The 15461-nt window shown below is 55.1% G+C and overlaps 1 protein-coding gene across 6 annotated transcripts in view, besides 3 other annotated features; it reads left to right on the forward strand.

Annotated features, from left to right (window-relative positions):
- Positions 979–1736: an enhancer, noted in NCBI's record as "NANOG-H3K4me1 hESC enhancer chr22:24189965-24190722 (GRCh37/hg19 assembly coordinates)". NCBI's record gives its function as "activates a minimal SCP1, AML or CMV promoter by ChIP-STARR-seq in primed H9 embryonic stem cells {active_cell/tissue: H9 hESC(primed)}" and the evidence as "EXISTENCE:reporter gene assay evidence [ECO:0000049][PMID:30033119]".
- Positions 1737–2492: an enhancer, noted in NCBI's record as "NANOG-H3K27ac-H3K4me1 hESC enhancer chr22:24190723-24191478 (GRCh37/hg19 assembly coordinates)". NCBI's record gives its function as "activates a minimal SCP1, AML or CMV promoter by ChIP-STARR-seq in primed H9 embryonic stem cells {active_cell/tissue: H9 hESC(primed)}" and the evidence as "EXISTENCE:reporter gene assay evidence [ECO:0000049][PMID:30033119]".
- Positions 2493–3248: an enhancer, noted in NCBI's record as "H3K27ac-H3K4me1 hESC enhancer chr22:24191479-24192234 (GRCh37/hg19 assembly coordinates)". NCBI's record gives its function as "activates a minimal SCP1, AML or CMV promoter by ChIP-STARR-seq in primed H9 embryonic stem cells {active_cell/tissue: H9 hESC(primed)}" and the evidence as "EXISTENCE:reporter gene assay evidence [ECO:0000049][PMID:30033119]".
- Positions 10135–15461, forward strand: part of SLC2A11 (solute carrier family 2 member 11) — a 29379-nt gene continuing 24052 nt past the window's right edge. For 2 of the 6 annotated variants that reach the window (NR_104248.2, NM_030807.5), the window contains exons 1-3: positions 10135–10192; positions 10622–10732; positions 15305–15403. Coding sequence is in view for 4 of the 6 variants with exons in the window: in NM_030807.5 (NP_110434.3) it covers positions 10691–10732; positions 15305–15403 (141 nt within the window). In the remaining 2 variants the exon portion in view is untranslated. Of the gene's footprint in view, positions 10193–10352; positions 10733–11075; positions 11231–15304; positions 15404–15461 lie in introns of those variants that run through there. The other 4 variants (NR_104247.2, NM_001024938.4, NM_001282864.2 and 1 more) reach the window with 3 other exon arrangements.

Below are 15461 nucleotides of genomic sequence, written 5' to 3' on the forward strand. Positions count from 1 at the left end.
CAGGGCCAGGGATATGAGTTCACAGAGACAAAACCTGAGACAGCTCTGTCTTTGACTTCGAAAAAGCCTGGCGGAGTGGCGTGTGGCTGTAGTCCCAGCGGAGGCAGGAGGATTGCTTGAGCCCGGGAGTTCGAGGCCAGCCTGGGCAACAGCGTGACACTCCATCTCTACGAAAACAAAACTAATCTTTAGGGACTGGGGCCACCACTCTGGAAGGCCTTGCCCAGGACTAGTGACTCAGAGCCATGGGTCTGGTGGAAGGAGAGGTTCAGAAAGGCCTGGGTTCAGCCAGGTGCGGTGGCTCACGCCTGTAATCCCAGCACTTTGGGAGGCTGAGGCTGACAGATCACCTGAGGTCGGGAGTTCTAGAGCAACCTGACTAACATGGAGAAACCCGTCTCTACTAAAAATACAAAATTAGCTGGGCATGGTGGTGCATGCCTGTAGTTCCAACTCTTTGGGGGGCTGAGGCAGGAGAATCGCTTGAACACGGGAGGCGGAGGTTGCGGTGAGCTGAGATCGTGCCACTGGACTCCAGCCTGGACAACAAGAGCGAAACTCCGTCTCAAAAAAAAAAAAAGAAAGAAAGGCCTTGGTTCACCCCACCTCCACTGGCTTGCATCCACTGATAGCCCCACCAAGCAGCCAGGCCCTGCTCCCATGAGTGAGGGGCATGCTCCCCGTGCCAGGTGATTGTCCAGCCGCTGGGATGGGAGGCTCCTAACGGTGGGCTGAGATGACAACCCAGGTGACCCATCCTTTCACAGTGACACCACCAGGGCCCCTGCCTCCACGTCCTCCTCCAAACACTCACCCAGCCCTCCAATGCCCTTCACTTTCATGAGACTGGGGGGCCTCTTTAAGAAAATGAATGCAAAACAGCCGGGCGCGGTGGCTCATGCCTGTAATCCCAACACTTTGGGAGGCCGAGGTGGGCGGATCACCTGAGGTCAGTAGTTCAAGACCAGCCTGGCCAACACGGCGAAACCCTATCTGTACTAAAAATACAAAAATTACGAAAATTAGTGGGGTGTGGTGGCAGGCTCCTGTAATAATCCCAGCTACTCGGGAGGCTGAGGCGGGAGAATTGCTTGAACACAGGTGGCGGAGGTTGCAGTGAGCTGAGATCGTGCCATTGCACTCCAGCCTGGGCAACAAGAGTGAAACTCTGTCTCAAAAAAAAAAAAAAATGCAAAACAAATGCAAGATTAGGTCGCAAAGTGAGTATTTGAAATGCAAACAAATGACCAATTTGGTTGCCCCGTTGGAGAGAAGAGAAAACCGAGGCTGCGGCACGGGGAGGGCTTCCTTGGTGAGGGCAGACGCAGGAAGGCACACCTGTCCCACTGCTTGCGCATCCCAAACCTGCAGAAGGTGGTCCAGCCACAGCGGACTGGCTGCTGTGGCATCTCCCCACCCCCTTCCAAGAGGCCCTGCTTAGAGGCCCCCTCCGCCCCAAGGAATGCAGGCATCAGTGCTTCAGACTCTGGCCTAACCACCGTCCCCACCTCCCAGGCCCCCACCCTTTCCCTCCAGATGTGGGCACAGCTGTATTTTTAGAACAGCCGACCACGAGGACATTCTTTCCTTCTAATTAAGATGGCTTCAAATCTCTCATCTGCAATCAGCCCCATTGTTCAGTCCTCAAACATCAAAGGGTGGCCAGGAGGGGCCGCCTCAGCTGGTTGTGGGGTTGGGGCTTGTTTTCTTTCTTTCTTTGTCTTTGAGCCATTACGCTGGAAATGAGACCCAGAACCGGAGTGGATGCCAGCTCTGAGGAGGAAGAAGCAGGCCTTTGGGTAGTTTGCAGGACCTGCCTGTCTGCACCCCTGCACCCTGTCGCCAACCTTGAGTGAGGTTGTCCAGCTAGGCTGCAGCCCCCCAGTGCACCCATCTGAGGTTAGGGTCTGTCTGGGACAACTGCGGGATCAAAAAAGGCCCTGTGTTGGCTGGGCGCGGTGGCTCTCGCGTGTAATCGCAGTGCTTTGGGAGGCCAAGGTGGGCAGATAACCTGAGGTCAGGAGTTCGAGACTAGCCTGGCCAACATGGTGAAACCTCGTCTCTACTAAAAATACAAAAATTAGCCGGGCATGTTGGCTCACGCCTGTAATCCCAGCAAGTCGGGAGGCTGAGGCAGGAGAATCGCTTGAACCCCGGGGGCAGAGGCTTCAGTGATCATCAGGCCTCCTGACCTCCTCCCTCTCCCCCGCAGGAGGCCCCTGGTGTAGGACAGAGATGCCCACCCACGTGGGGGCAATAGGAAAGGCTGCAGGGAGGAATGGCCTCTGGGTAGCCTTGAACCGTGTTACAGTCCTCCGTGCTACAGCGCTCTCAAGCCCACTGACAGATGAGGAAACCGAGGCTCAGAGAGGCCAACAGGCTGGCCTAGAGCTGCTCAGCCCACTAGCAGTGAGGTGCTCAGGAACGCTAGGTCCCCGCAGTCAGCCGTGCCCTGCACCCCTCACTCATCCCCAGGGATGGACCGGGCCTGCTGCTGCCTGAGCCTTGGCTCCAGGTAGGAGGCACCTGTCCCACCCCGCATGGAGCAGAGAGGAGAGCCACGCAGGCGGGCCGAGGCCGGATGGGACTGGCGTCAGGCTTCTCAGCTCCCCAGGGTCCTGGCCCACCCGGCCCCGCGCGGCTGGATGTGAGGACAGGGCAAGTGAAATCGCACCGGGGCGGGTGGCGCAGGGCAGGAGGCTGCAACTCGGTACAACGGCCAGGACTGGAGCGCCCAAGAGCTGAGGGGCAGGGAGGGCAAGGCAGAAAGGGGAGCCTCCCCAGATGAAGTGCCCCCTACCCAGCGGCGCCTGGGCGCAGGCCTCCTTTGTGTCACCGCCACCACTGAACCTTCGCGAGTCGGCGGCAATCGCTGGTGCTGGGTTCCGCAGAGCCCGGGCTCTGTCGCCCCCTCGCGGCCGGAGCCGGTCTGGGCGGCGTCGGGGAAATCCCGAAAAGCCTGCGGGGAAGAAGCTGAACGGGGGCGGGACCCGGGCGCGGTGAGCCCATTCATTCCCCGAGGGCTGGGAAAGTCTCCACCAGGAGACGGAATCCCTGGGATGTCCCCAACGCTGGGCCCTGCCTCCCTAGGCCCAGGTAACAGGCATTTTCTAAGACAGTTCAGGGACACGGAGGCACCCCGCTGGAAGAGCCGGTGGGCTCCCGGGTGGGGTACGGGCCGGGTGGGAGTCAGTATCACCAGCGGGCTTCGCTGGATTGATTGTTTTTATTTATTTATTTTTAAATATTTATTTATTTATTTTTGAGACGGAGTTTCGCTCTGTCGCTCACGCTGGAGTTCAGTGGCACGATCTTGGCTCACTGCAACCTCTGCCTCCCCGGCTCAAGCAAGCCTCCTGCCTCAGCCTCCCCAGTAGCTAAGATTACAGGCGCCCACCACACACCCGGCTAATCTTTGTATTTTTGGTAGAGATGAGGTTTCACCAGGCAGACCTCAGTTGATCCGCCTGCCTCAGCCTTCCGCAGTGCTGCGATAACAGGCAGGAGCCACCGCGCCCGGCCTGTATTGATTGTTTTTAGTTTGAGCTGCGCTCCTCCCTTGGCAATGTGAGGAAGACCAGCTCTGCCAGCCGGGCTGTAGGGCTGGTGCGGGCACCGGCTTGGCCTCACAGAGCCTCAGGGACTCCCCTCGTAAATGAGGCTGACATCCACATATGGGTGGTTGCACCTAGCACTGCACAGGACGGATGTGAGCACCAGGCTGCTACAAATACAGATATGACTTTCACATGCCCAAGGTTAAACTCCCAGTCAATGTTTGCTGAGGCGAAACCTAGAGCTTCCTGGCCAAAGGATAATAATTAATGTCTGGGGAGCCCACACATGGGGACCTGTCTCCAACGAGATGGGGGTGGCTTTAGGGCATCCAAGAGGCATTTCAAGGAGAATCAAGGGGCAGCCAGGTATTGTTAATGGTGGCCAGGTCAGGATCCAGTCTGGCAGGGTCTTGGATTCAAGGTTAAACCCAGTTCTAAATTTGGGACTTATCCCCAGGCTCGCCCCCAGGCTTTTACTATGTAGACATATATATTCCTACACACATTAGGTACGGTTTTGTATATTTCCAAACAATATACAGGCATAATAGTGTAGGCATCTTTCTGCAACTTTGTTCATGCAGCGTTGTGATTCACACATGTTGATACCGTTCCTCTAGTCTAGTCCACTGATTTTCACTGATGCATGGTATTCTATGGTATTCTACAGCTTATATCTCCTTTTTTTGCATGATTGACATTTGGATAGTTTCCAATTTTCCTATGGTACAAAAGATGCTGCATTTGTGAACAGTTCCTGAGCATGGGATTAAGAGTTTCTCCAAGGTAAACCCAGGAGTGGAATTGCTGGGTGGGAGAGGTATGTGAACTTCAACTTCCTTCATCTGCCCAAATTGCTCTCCAGAGTCATTGCACTGATTTACATTTTTCCTTCCTTCCTTCCTTCATTCCTTCCTTCCTTTTTTTGAGATAGGGTCTTAGTCTGTCACTCAGGCTGGAGTGCAGTGGTGTGAACATGGCTCACTGCAGCCTTGACCTCCTGGGCTCAAGCTTTTTTTCCCACCTCAACCTCCTAAGTAACTGGGACCACAGCTGTGTGGTGTGCCACTGTGCCCAGCTAATTAAAAAAAATAAATTATAGAGACAGGGTCTCACCACATTGCCTAGGCTGGTTTGAAACTTCAGCCTCAAATGATCCTCCTATTTTGGCCTCCTAAAGTGGTGGGATTACAGGCATGAGCCACCACACCTAGTTCCAACTGATATTTTCATCAATAGTACGTGGGTGTTCCAGCTGATCAACACCACCACTTGGTATTGCCAGAATTAAGCTGTTAGTCTGTTGAGTGGGAACCAATATGCTGATGTGGATTTAATTTGCATTTCCTGATTACTAATGTAGCTATCTTTTAATTAGGTTTTTTGGTCATTTCAGTTTCCTCTTCTGTAAATTCCTTGTTCATATCTTTTTTTTTTTTGAGACGGAGTTTCACTCTGTCGCCCAGGTTGGAGTGTAGTGGCACGATCTCGGCTCACTGCAAGTTCTGCCTCCTGGGCTCAAGTGATCCTCATGCCTCAGCCTCCTGAGTAGCTGGGACTACAGGCCAAACCACCATGCCAAGCTAATTTTTTGTATTTTTTGGTAGAGATGGGGTTTAATTTTTTGTATTTTTGGTAGAGACGGGGTTTTACCATGTTTCCCAGGCTGGTCTCGAACTCCTGAGATCAAGCGATCTGCCCCGCCTTGGCCTCCCAAGTGCTGAGATTATAGGCATGAGCCACCGTGTCAAGCCTGTTTGCCCATTTTCTTTTCCTTATTGGTATGTGGGTATTCTATATACATTCTGAATACTAATACTGTGTTGGTCATATGTTGTAGTTACCTTCTTCTACTTGGTAGCTTTAGGTTTCAACTTTTTAAAAAATGCGTATTTTTTTATTTAAAAAATCGAGATGTGGTCTCACTATGTTGTCAGGGCTGGTCTCGAACTCTTGAACTCAAGTGATCCTCCCACTTCGGCCTCCCAAAGTGCTAGGATCGCAGGCTGGAGCCACCACACCTGGCCAGGTTTCACCTTTTCATGGCGTCTTTTGTTTGTTTATTTGAGACAGGGTCTTACTCTGTTGCCCCAGTTGGAGTGCAGTGCTGTGATCACCGATTACTGCAGCCTCAACTTCCCTGGCTCAGGTAATCCTCCCTGAGCCTCAGTCTCCTGGGTAGCTGGGACCACAGGCTCAAGCCATCATGCCCGGCTAATTTTTTGTAATTTTTGTAGAGACGGGGTTTTGCCATGCTGCCCGGGCTGTTCTCAAACTCCTGGGCTCAAGCAATCCACCCACCGTGGCCTCCCAAGGTACTTGGATTACAGGCGTAAACCACTGTGCCTGGCCCATTAATGGTGTCTTTTAACACACAGATTTTTAATTTTAATAAGGTTAAATCCTCATAAGAAATCTGCGTGGTTTATCCTTGTTTAACCCGGGGTTATAAAAGTATTATATATTTCCTTTTTATTTTTATTTTTTGAGATGGAGTTTCACTCTGTCATCTAGGCTGGAGTACAGTGGCGCAATCTTGGCTCACTGCAACCTCTGTCTCCTGGGTTCAGGTGACTCTCCTGCCTCAGCCTCCTGAGTAGCTGGGATTACAGGTGCCCGCCACCACACCCAGCTAATTTTTGTATTTTTAGTAGAGACGGGGTTTCGCCATGTTGGCCAGGCTGGTCTGGAACTCCTGACCTCAGGTGATCCACCTGCCTTGGCCTCCCAAAGTGCTCGGATTACAGGCATTAGCCACCTCGCCCGGCCTTTACATTTTTTTTTATAGAGATGGGGGTCTGCCCATGTTGCCCAGGCTGGTCTTGAACTTATGCGCTCAAGTGATCCTCCTGCCTCAGTCTCCCAAAGTGCTGGGATTACAGGTGGGAGCTACTGCGTCCAGCCTAAAATGTTTGAAGTTAGGTTTTTGCATTAGGTTTGTGTGTACCTGGAATGACTTTTGTATATGAAGTGAGACAGAGGTCCACACTTTTTCCCCATATCATCAACTGTCCTAGCGCCATTTATTAGCCCGTCACTTCCCACTTATTTATTATTATTATTTTTTGAGACGGAGTCTCTCTGTCGCCCAGACGGGAGTGCAGTGGCACGACCTTGGCTCACTGCAAGCTCCGCCTCCCGGGTTCACGCCATTCTCTCGCCTCAGCCTCCCGAGTAGCTGGGACTACAGGAGCGTGCCGCCACGCCCGGCTAATTTTTTGTATTTTTAATAGAGACAGGGTTTCACCGTGTTAGCCAGGATGGTCTCGATCTCCTGACCTCGTGATCTGCCTGCCTCGGCCTCCCAAAGTGCTGGGATTACAGGCGTGAGCCACCGCACCCGGCCACTTCCCACTTATTTCTTAAGGGGGAAAAGGCAATGGTTGTTTTGAAAAAAAATTAACCTGCTCTCCCTCTCCCTCTCCCTCTCCCTCTCCCTCTCCCTCCCCCTCCCCCTCCCTCTCCCTCTCCCTCTCCCTCTCCCTCCACGGTCTCCCTCTGATGCCGAGCCAAGGCTGGACGGTACTGCTGCCATCTCGGCTCACTGCAACCTCCCTGCCTGATTCTCCTGCCTCAGCCTGCCGAGTGCCTGCGATTGCAGGCGCGCACCGCCACGCCTGACTGGTTTTCGTTTTTTTTTTGGTGGAGACGGGGTTTCGCTGTGTTGGCCGGGCTGGTCTCCAGCTCCTAGCCGCGAGTGATCCGCCAGCCTCGGCCTCCCGAGGTGCCGGGATTGCAGATGGAGTCTCGTTCACTCAGTGCTCAATGGTGCCCAGGCTGGAGTGCAGTGGCGTGATCTCGGCTCGCTGCAACCACCTCCCAGCCGCCTGCCTTGGCCTCCCGGAGAGCCGAGATTGCAGCCTCTGCCCGGCCGCCACCCCGTATGGGAAGTGAGGAGCGTCTCTGCTTGGCCACCCATCGTCTGGGATGTGAGGAGCCCCTCTGCCTGGCTGCCCAGTCTGGAAAGTGAGGAGCGTCTCTGCCCGGCCGCCATCCCATCTGGGAAGCGAGGAGCGCCTCTTCCCCGCCGCCATCCCATCTAGGAAGTGAGGAGCGTCTCTGCCCGGCCGCCCATCGTCTGAGATGTGGGGAGCACCTCTGCCCCGCCGCCCTGTCTGGGATGTGAGGAGCGCCTCTGCTGGGCCGCAGCCCTGTCTGGGAGGTGGGGAGCGTCTCTGCCCGGCTGCTCCGTCTGAGAAGTGAGGAAACCCTCTGCCTGGCAACCGCCCCGTCTGAGAAGTGAGGAGCCCCTCCGTCCGGCAACCACCCCGTCTGGGAAGTGAGGAGCGTCTCCGCCCAGCAGCCACCCCGTCCGGGAGGGAGGTGGGGGGGGTCAGCCCCCCGCCCGGCCAGCCGCCCCGTCCTGGAGGTGAGGGGCTCCTCTGCCCGGCCGCCCCTACTGGGAAGTGAGGAGCCCCTCTGCCCGGCCAGACGCCCCGTCCAGGAGGGAGGTGGGGGGGTCAGCCCCCCGCCCGGCCAGCCGCCCAGTCCGGGAGGGAGGTGGGGGGTCAGCCCCCCGCCCGGCCAGCCGCCCCGTCTGGGAGGGAGGTGGGGGGATCAGCCCCCCGCCTGGCCAGCCGCCCCATCCGGGAGGTGAGGGGCGCCTCTGCCCGGCCGCCCCTACTGGGAAGTGAGGAGCCCCTCTGCCCGGCCAGCCGCCCCGCCCGGGAGGGAGGTGGGGGGGTCATCCCCCCACCTGGCCAGCCGCCCCATCCGGGAGGGAGGTGGGGGGGTCAGCCCCCTGCCCGGCCAGCCGCCCCGTCCGGGAGGGGGGAGGGGGGGTCAGCCCCCTGCCCGGCCAGCCGCCCCGTCCGGGAGGGAGGTGGGGGGGGTCAGCCCCCCGCCTGGCCAGCCGCCCCGTCCGGGAGGGAGGTGGGGGGATCAGCCCCCCGCCTGGCCAGTCGCCCCGTCCGGGAGGTGAGGGGCGCCTCTGCCCGGCCGCCCCTACTGGAAAGTGAGGAGCCCCTCTGCCCGGCCAGCCGCCCCGTCCGGGAGGGAGGCGGGGTGGGGGGGGGGGGGTCGGCCAGCCGCCCCGTCCGGGAGGGAGGTGGGGGGGGTCAGCCCCCCTTCCGGCCGGCCGCCCCGTCCGGGAGGTGAGGGGCGCCTCTGCCCGGCCGCCCCTACTGGGAAGTGAGGACCCCTCTGCCCGGCCAGCCGCCCCGTCCGGGAGGGAGGTGGGGGGGACAGCCCCCCGCCCAGCCAGCCGCCCTATCCAGGAGGTGAGGGGCGCCTCTGCCCGGCCGTCCCTACTGGGAAGTGAGGAGCCCCTCTGCCTGGCCAGCCGCCCCGTCCGGGAGGGTGGTGGGGGGGTCAGCCCCCCGCCCGGCCAGCCGCCCCATCCGGGAGGTGAGGGGCGCTTCTGCCCGGCCGCCCCTACTGGGAAGTGAGGAGCCCCTCTGCCCGGCCACGACCCCGTCTGGGAGGTGTGCCCAGCGGCTCATTGGGGATGGGCCATGATGACAATGGCGGTTTTGTGGAATAGAAAGGCGGGAAGGGTGGGGAAAAAATTGAGAAATCGGATGGTTGCCGGGTCTCTGTGGATAGAAGTAGACATGGGAGACTTTTCATTTTGTTCTGTACTAAGAAAAATTCTTCTGCCTTGGGATCCTGTTGATCTGTGACCTTATCCCCAACCCTGTGCTCTCTGAAACATGTGCTGTGTCCACTCAGGGTTAAATGGATTAAGGGCGGTGCAAGATGTGCTTTGTTAAACAGATGCTTGAAGGCAGCATGCTCGTTAAGAGTCATCACCACTCCCTAATCTTAAGTACCCAGGGACACAAACACTGCGGAAGGCCAAGGCCGCAGGGTCCTCTGCCTAGGAAAACCAGAGACCTTTGTTCACTTGTTTATCTGCTGACCTTCCCTCCACTATTGTCCTATGACCCTGCCAAATCCCCCTCTGCGAGAAACACCCAAGAATGATCAATAAAAAAAAAATAAATAAATTAAAAAAAAAAAAGAAAAAAATTAACCTATCAAAATAAAATATCAGCAGTTGAAACTAACAATGTATTAATAACAATAATATTATGACCAAGTTGCGTCTACCCCAAGAATTCAAGAATGGTTTACCATTAGAAAGTTTATTGATGTAACTGATCTCATTAACAGATTAAAGGAGAATACCCATATGATCATCTTAATAGATGCACGAAAAGCATGCAATAAAATACCTATTTATTATAACTGCTAATATTTTGTGTTTTTCCTTAAAAATGCAGTGTTTTTAGGAATTAAAGTTCAGAGCAGCAAAAGTCAAACAAAAACCAAGTCTGAGCAATAGAGCTACTACAGTGCCCATCACAGTGTCTGCTCAGGTGACTTCTTAAGGTCATGTCCAGCTCTATGTTTCTGTGACCACAAATAGCATCTTTGGCAAGTCTAGTTTCAGTTGGTCTTTGTCCAGCTCCTGGATTCCTCCATGCAGGGCCTGAGAAGCCCTGAGGGATAAAAGATTAATCCGGTTCAGTGGACTCTGTGGTTCCTCAACTCCAAGTGCCCCCAGCATAAGTCGGACCTGCCTCTCACGCAATGGATCCCCTGGCGGCAACCCGAGACCGGTTCTCCTACCCGCATTCCGCCAAGTCTCTCGCTCTGCCCAGGACGCACAGATGAGAGCGCTCCGAAGACTGGTGGGTCTATCTTTCGGTCTTTCCTAATTTTCCCGTCCTCTGGGGAAAGGTCGGGGATACCTGAACCAAAGTGTGTGTGTGTGGGGGGGGGGGGGTGTAGGTGGGGCGTGCATAGATGTGCACAACCAAGGGCTTGGCCCTCCGGAGAACGCCCAGGGGCAGTGGCCTCCGAGGTTCTGGCGGCCGGCAGTGGCGACCGGCGCAGGGAATCGCGCAGGGTTGCGGCTGAGGTCAGACCAGCGAGAGACAGAGACCCGCAGACATTTAGTCCAGAGACTGTAGCAAAGGAGGGGGACGAGGGGCCAGAGCCGGAATTTCGGGGGAGGACTTGGGAGCGCGGCGACCAGAGTCGCTTGCTGGCACTTGCGAGGGCGAATGCAGGGGCTTGGCCGAGATGACCTTGGACCAGAGCTCCCTTCCGGCCTGCAGAGATGAGCTTGGGGCTTAGCCGAGTAAGGAGTGAGCGGCTTTTCAGCCTCAGTGCTGCGGCAGAGGCGGATGGAGGATGAACTGGAGCCGTCCTTACGGCCTCGGACGCAGGTGAGCTCCCAGCGGCGGCGACAAACCCCGCGGCGGTGACCCCAAACCCCCCCCCCGCGGCGGCGACTCCCCCCCAACACGCTGGGGCGAACTCCCCAGCACCCCCAGCCCTTCTTAAAAACGCTGAGTCCGCGCATGCGCCTCAGGCGCCCTCCGCGACACTCTAGCGGCTCTGCGCTTCACTGCGCCTGAGCTTGAGTCTCAGGCCTTAGTCCCGGCCATCGTTTAGCGTTGCGCGAACCCTCAGCTGGTGCGGCCGCTCTCAATACCCACTGCGCTTGCGCTACAGCTTCGTCTCGACGGGTTTGCTCCTCTCAAACGCTCACTGCGCGTGCGCTAGCGCCTCTTTCACCACTGGGCGCTGCGCGCTGCCCTTCCCTCCGCGCACAGGCTGCCGGCTCACCGCTTGCTAATGGCAGCCGGGGTCTCCCTGGGACAGCAAGACCTCCGCTCAGGCCCCTCTTTCGAATGCTCCACGCCCTCCTGCGATCTAGAATGGTATGAATTCTCATACTTGCCCAGACCAGGCGTTTCAGATGAGGGATTGCGGACCTGAGTGAACTGCGCAGGTGCAGCCACCTGGGAGGCTTAACTAAGTCGTCAAATGTTCAAAAATATCGTGCTTGTATGTACAGTGGCGTTAGGTGCTAGGCTCAGATGTGCATAGGCAGGTGTTTACGCCCAGGGTCGGCCTGTGGGCCAGAGCAAGGTTGCTGGACCCTGGCATCCCAGCCCCCAGAGATGCTAAATCCTCTGCCGATCAGCCCTGACCTCAGAGGCAGTAAGCCCTCCGAGCGCTGCAATCCTGACTGCTCGCCCCCTCCCGAGACTGTTTCCCACCCCCGCCTCTTTCCTCCTCATGCTCCCTCAGCTCTGACCTGACGTCCTGCCTCACAGAGGGAAAGGGCGCAGCCAGAGGAGAGCGCCCGCACTGCACTGCCCACCGCTTCTAGGGGTTCCTTCCCAATCTGGACTGATTTCTTTAGGTATTTGCATGGCACATTCCCTCACCTCCTTTGTCTTGATTTGCACTTGTATTCCTTGACAGCCTTATTTAAAATAGCACCAACTAAGGTGGGAGGATCGCCCAGGAGTTCGAAGCTGCAGGGATCTAATAGGATCTCACCACTGCACTCCAGCGTGGGCGACGTAGCGAGACCTTGTCTCTAAAAAATAAAAATAAAATAAAATAAAATAAAATAGCACCACCTGGTCCAAACACTTCCTACGCCCCTTCACTGCTTTAAGTCTCTGTAGCACCAGCTGATGTACTATATATTTTGCTTGTTCATTTTGCGATTGCTTGTCTTTCTCTGCTGGAAGGAAAGCTCTGACAGCTCATGGATTTTGTCTGTTGTTCACTGCTGTATCCCAACACCTAGAACAGTAGGATTATTGACCATAATAGGGAGGCAATAAATCTTTGTTTGCTGAATTAATGGTCCCTATCGTAGCTAATGTCTGAATGCTTACCATGACCAGGCACGGTATAGGCAATCTCCATGCATGATCTCATTGAATTCAACGATTTCCTGTAGTCTTAGAGACCTGTCAATATCTCCTGCTACATGAGCTCAGCTGCCATCAAGCACTGTGTTCGCTGCTTCCTTCACATCTGCTGTCTTAAGGGAGCTCTCACTTCCATGCGGCCCCCGTGGAGCTGTAATTTGGCCTCAATGGGACCAGATGCCAGGTTTCTCACCTGGCTTCTTCCTAAGGCTTCCAGCCTTAGAGAAAGTTACTTAGGCCTTATTGGAACTATGGGCAGCCAGGGCCCCTGTCACCAACCTGTCTCCAGACCTATGGCAAGGCCTTCAGCAGGATTCTGCCCTCCAGAGCCACTTCCTCTGCTCCCCCAGCCTCCAGTGCAGTATCTCACTGAATGGTGAAAGCACAGCTGTCTCTTTCCCAGCTGTATCTTGCCCCCCAGCACACTTCCTGGCTGAGATAAACATTCAGCATTTTTTTTTTTTTGAGATGGAGTCTCACTCTGTTGCCCAGGCAGGAGGGCAGTGGCGCGATCTGGGCTTACTGCAACCTCCGCCTCCCTCCCGGATTCAAGCAATTCTGCCTCAGCCTTCTGAGTAGCTGGGATTACAGGTGCCCACCACCAAGCCCGGCTAATTTTTGTATTTTTAGTAGAGACAGGGTTTTACCATGTTGGCCAGGCTGGTCTCGAACTCCTGACCTCAAGTGGTCTGCCCACCTCGGCCTCCCAAAGTGCAGGGATTGCAGGTGTGGGCCACGACATCCGGCCAACACTCAGTATTTGACTAATAAATGAATAAATAGTCCGTAGGTTCTGGAAACTTCAGAAAACCTTAGCCAAACATCCTTCTGTCATGAAAATTGTATCAAAGTTTTCAAAAATAATACATTTAATTCTACAGAACAATTTGCCAGAACAAGAAAGGCAGTATTTTTTGGGGGAAGATATCAACGATTCAATTTTTGTAAAGTCAACTACTTTGCAAATATCTAGGAAAATACCTGAGGGAAGGAGTTAATTGTTGTGCCTTTGGAGGAGTGGAGAACTTTCAGTATATACTGAATTTTCAAAAATCTTAACAAACGTGTCATTTTGTAATTAAAAATCACAAAAGAGTGGGCTGGGTATGGTGGCTCACGCCTGTAATCCTACCACTTTGGGAGGCCAAGGCGAGTGTATCGCTTGAGCTCAGGAGTTTGAAACCAGCCTGGGCAATATGGTGAAATCCCATCTCTACAAAAAAATTAGCCCAGCATGATGGTGTGTGCCTGTAGTCCCAGCTACTTGGGGGGCTGAGGTGGGAGGATCGCTTGAGCCCAGGAGGTTGAGGCTGCAGTGAATCAAGATTGCGACACTGCACTCCAGCCTGGGTGACAAAATGAGACCTTGTCTCAAAAAACAAAACAGAAAATCACCAAAGGAGAAAGATAAATACTTCTGTGAATCCCTAAGACGACCTCAACTACAGGTCGGGTGCGGTGGCTCACGTCTGTAATCTCAGCAATTTGGAGGCTGAGGTGGGCAGATCACTTGAGGTCAGGAGTCTCTACTAAAAATACAAAAATTAGCTGGGTGTGGTGGTGCATGCCTGCAATCCCAGCTACTCGGGAGGCTGAGGCAGGAGAATCGCTTGAACTGGGAGGCGGAGATTGCAGTGAGCCAAGATTGCGCCATTGCACTCCAGCCTGGGCGGCAGAGCAAAACTCCGTCTCTTTTTTTTTTTTGAGACGGAGTCTCACTCAACCTCCACCTCCTGGGTTCAAGCAGTTCTCTGCCTCAGCCTCCCGAGTAGCTGGGATTACAGACGCCTGCCAACACGCCCAGCTAATTTTTTTTTTTTTTTGAGACGGAGTCTCGCTCTGTCGCCCAGGCTGGAGTGCAGTGGCGCTATCTCGGCTCACTGCTAGCTCCGCCTCCCGGGTTCACACCATTCTCCTGCCTCAGCCTCCCCAGTAGCTGGGTCTACAGGTGCCCGCCACCACGCCTGGCTAATTTTTTGTATTTTTAGTAGAGGCGGGATTTCACCGTGTTAGCCAGGATGGTCTCAATCTCCTGACCTCGTGATCCGCCCGCCTCGGCCTCCCAAAGTGCTGGGATTACAGGCATGAGCCACTGCGCCCGGCCAATTTTTGTGTTTTTAGTAGAGATGGGGTTTCACCATCTTGGCCAGGTTGGTCTTAAACTTCTGACATTGTGATCCACCCGCCTCGGCCTCCCAAAGTGCTGGGATTACAGGTGTGAGCCACTGCGCCAGGCCAAGACTCAGTCTCAAAAAAAAAAAAAAAAAAAAAAAAAGAAAATCCCAACTATCCCAACTACAAAGGATGAGGCATCAGGGATGCCTTGGGGAATTCTCCCTCCATCTCTAAGGGTGTTTCACTGTCCTTTTGTGTACCAAGTGTGCATGACTCATGGGTACCCAGCCTAGAAGTAGGCTTCATTATCTGCAGGTCCAGGTAAGGAAGTCACTTAGGATGAGAAAGGAAGGGGAGAGCTGGGATAGGGACCAGGCACCTGGGCCATTTATGCTGCCTCTCTACTACTCATATGTCCCCAAGTCCTTGCACCTGCAGGTCCATGTGGCATCTTCTCTTAGCCTCATTGCAGAACATGCTGGTGGGAGGTAAGAGAGGTGGCTCAGCCCAGATTCCTGGAGCCTGGCCACTCTGTTGGAGAAGGTTTTCCTGGGGCAAGTCAGAGGCTCCTGTCCTGCTGGAGGCAGAGCCTTACTCTACTGGGGCCCCAGCTCAGGGGACTGTCTTCCCCAAACACAGCAGACGTGCTCAGGGGCAGCCCAACAAGGAGGGATGGGAACCGCTCTCCAGCTCAGGGAAATGTTGGGGCTATGGGTGGGGTGAGGGTAAAGTGGGGTCCTGGACTCAGAACAGGAGGCTTGGGTTCCTCTGCTACCTGCCAGCCATGTGACCCAGGTAACTCCTCTCTGTGCCTCACTTTCCTCATCTGCAAAGTGGAGACATCACTGCCTGATTCAAATAAATTGCAATGCTGTGATTGGCAGCTCTGGTCCAGGGAGGGGGTGGAGGCTGTTGTTGGTCACTCTGTGTTCTCTCCTCTCTCCTCAGATTCAGGGCAGGATCCTGCTCCTGACCATCTGCGCTGCCGGCATTGGTGGGACTTTTCAGTTTGGCTATAACCTCTCTATCATCAATGCCCCGACCTTGGTATGTATCCTCTCTGGGTGGAGACTGTCCCTGTCTGAGTGGGTACTGGCTAACAGCT

The sequence above is a fragment of the Homo sapiens genome, chromosome 22, assembly GCF_000001405.40.
Source record: "Homo sapiens chromosome 22, GRCh38.p14 Primary Assembly".
NCBI lineage: Eukaryota > Metazoa > Chordata > Mammalia > Primates > Hominidae > Homo > Homo sapiens.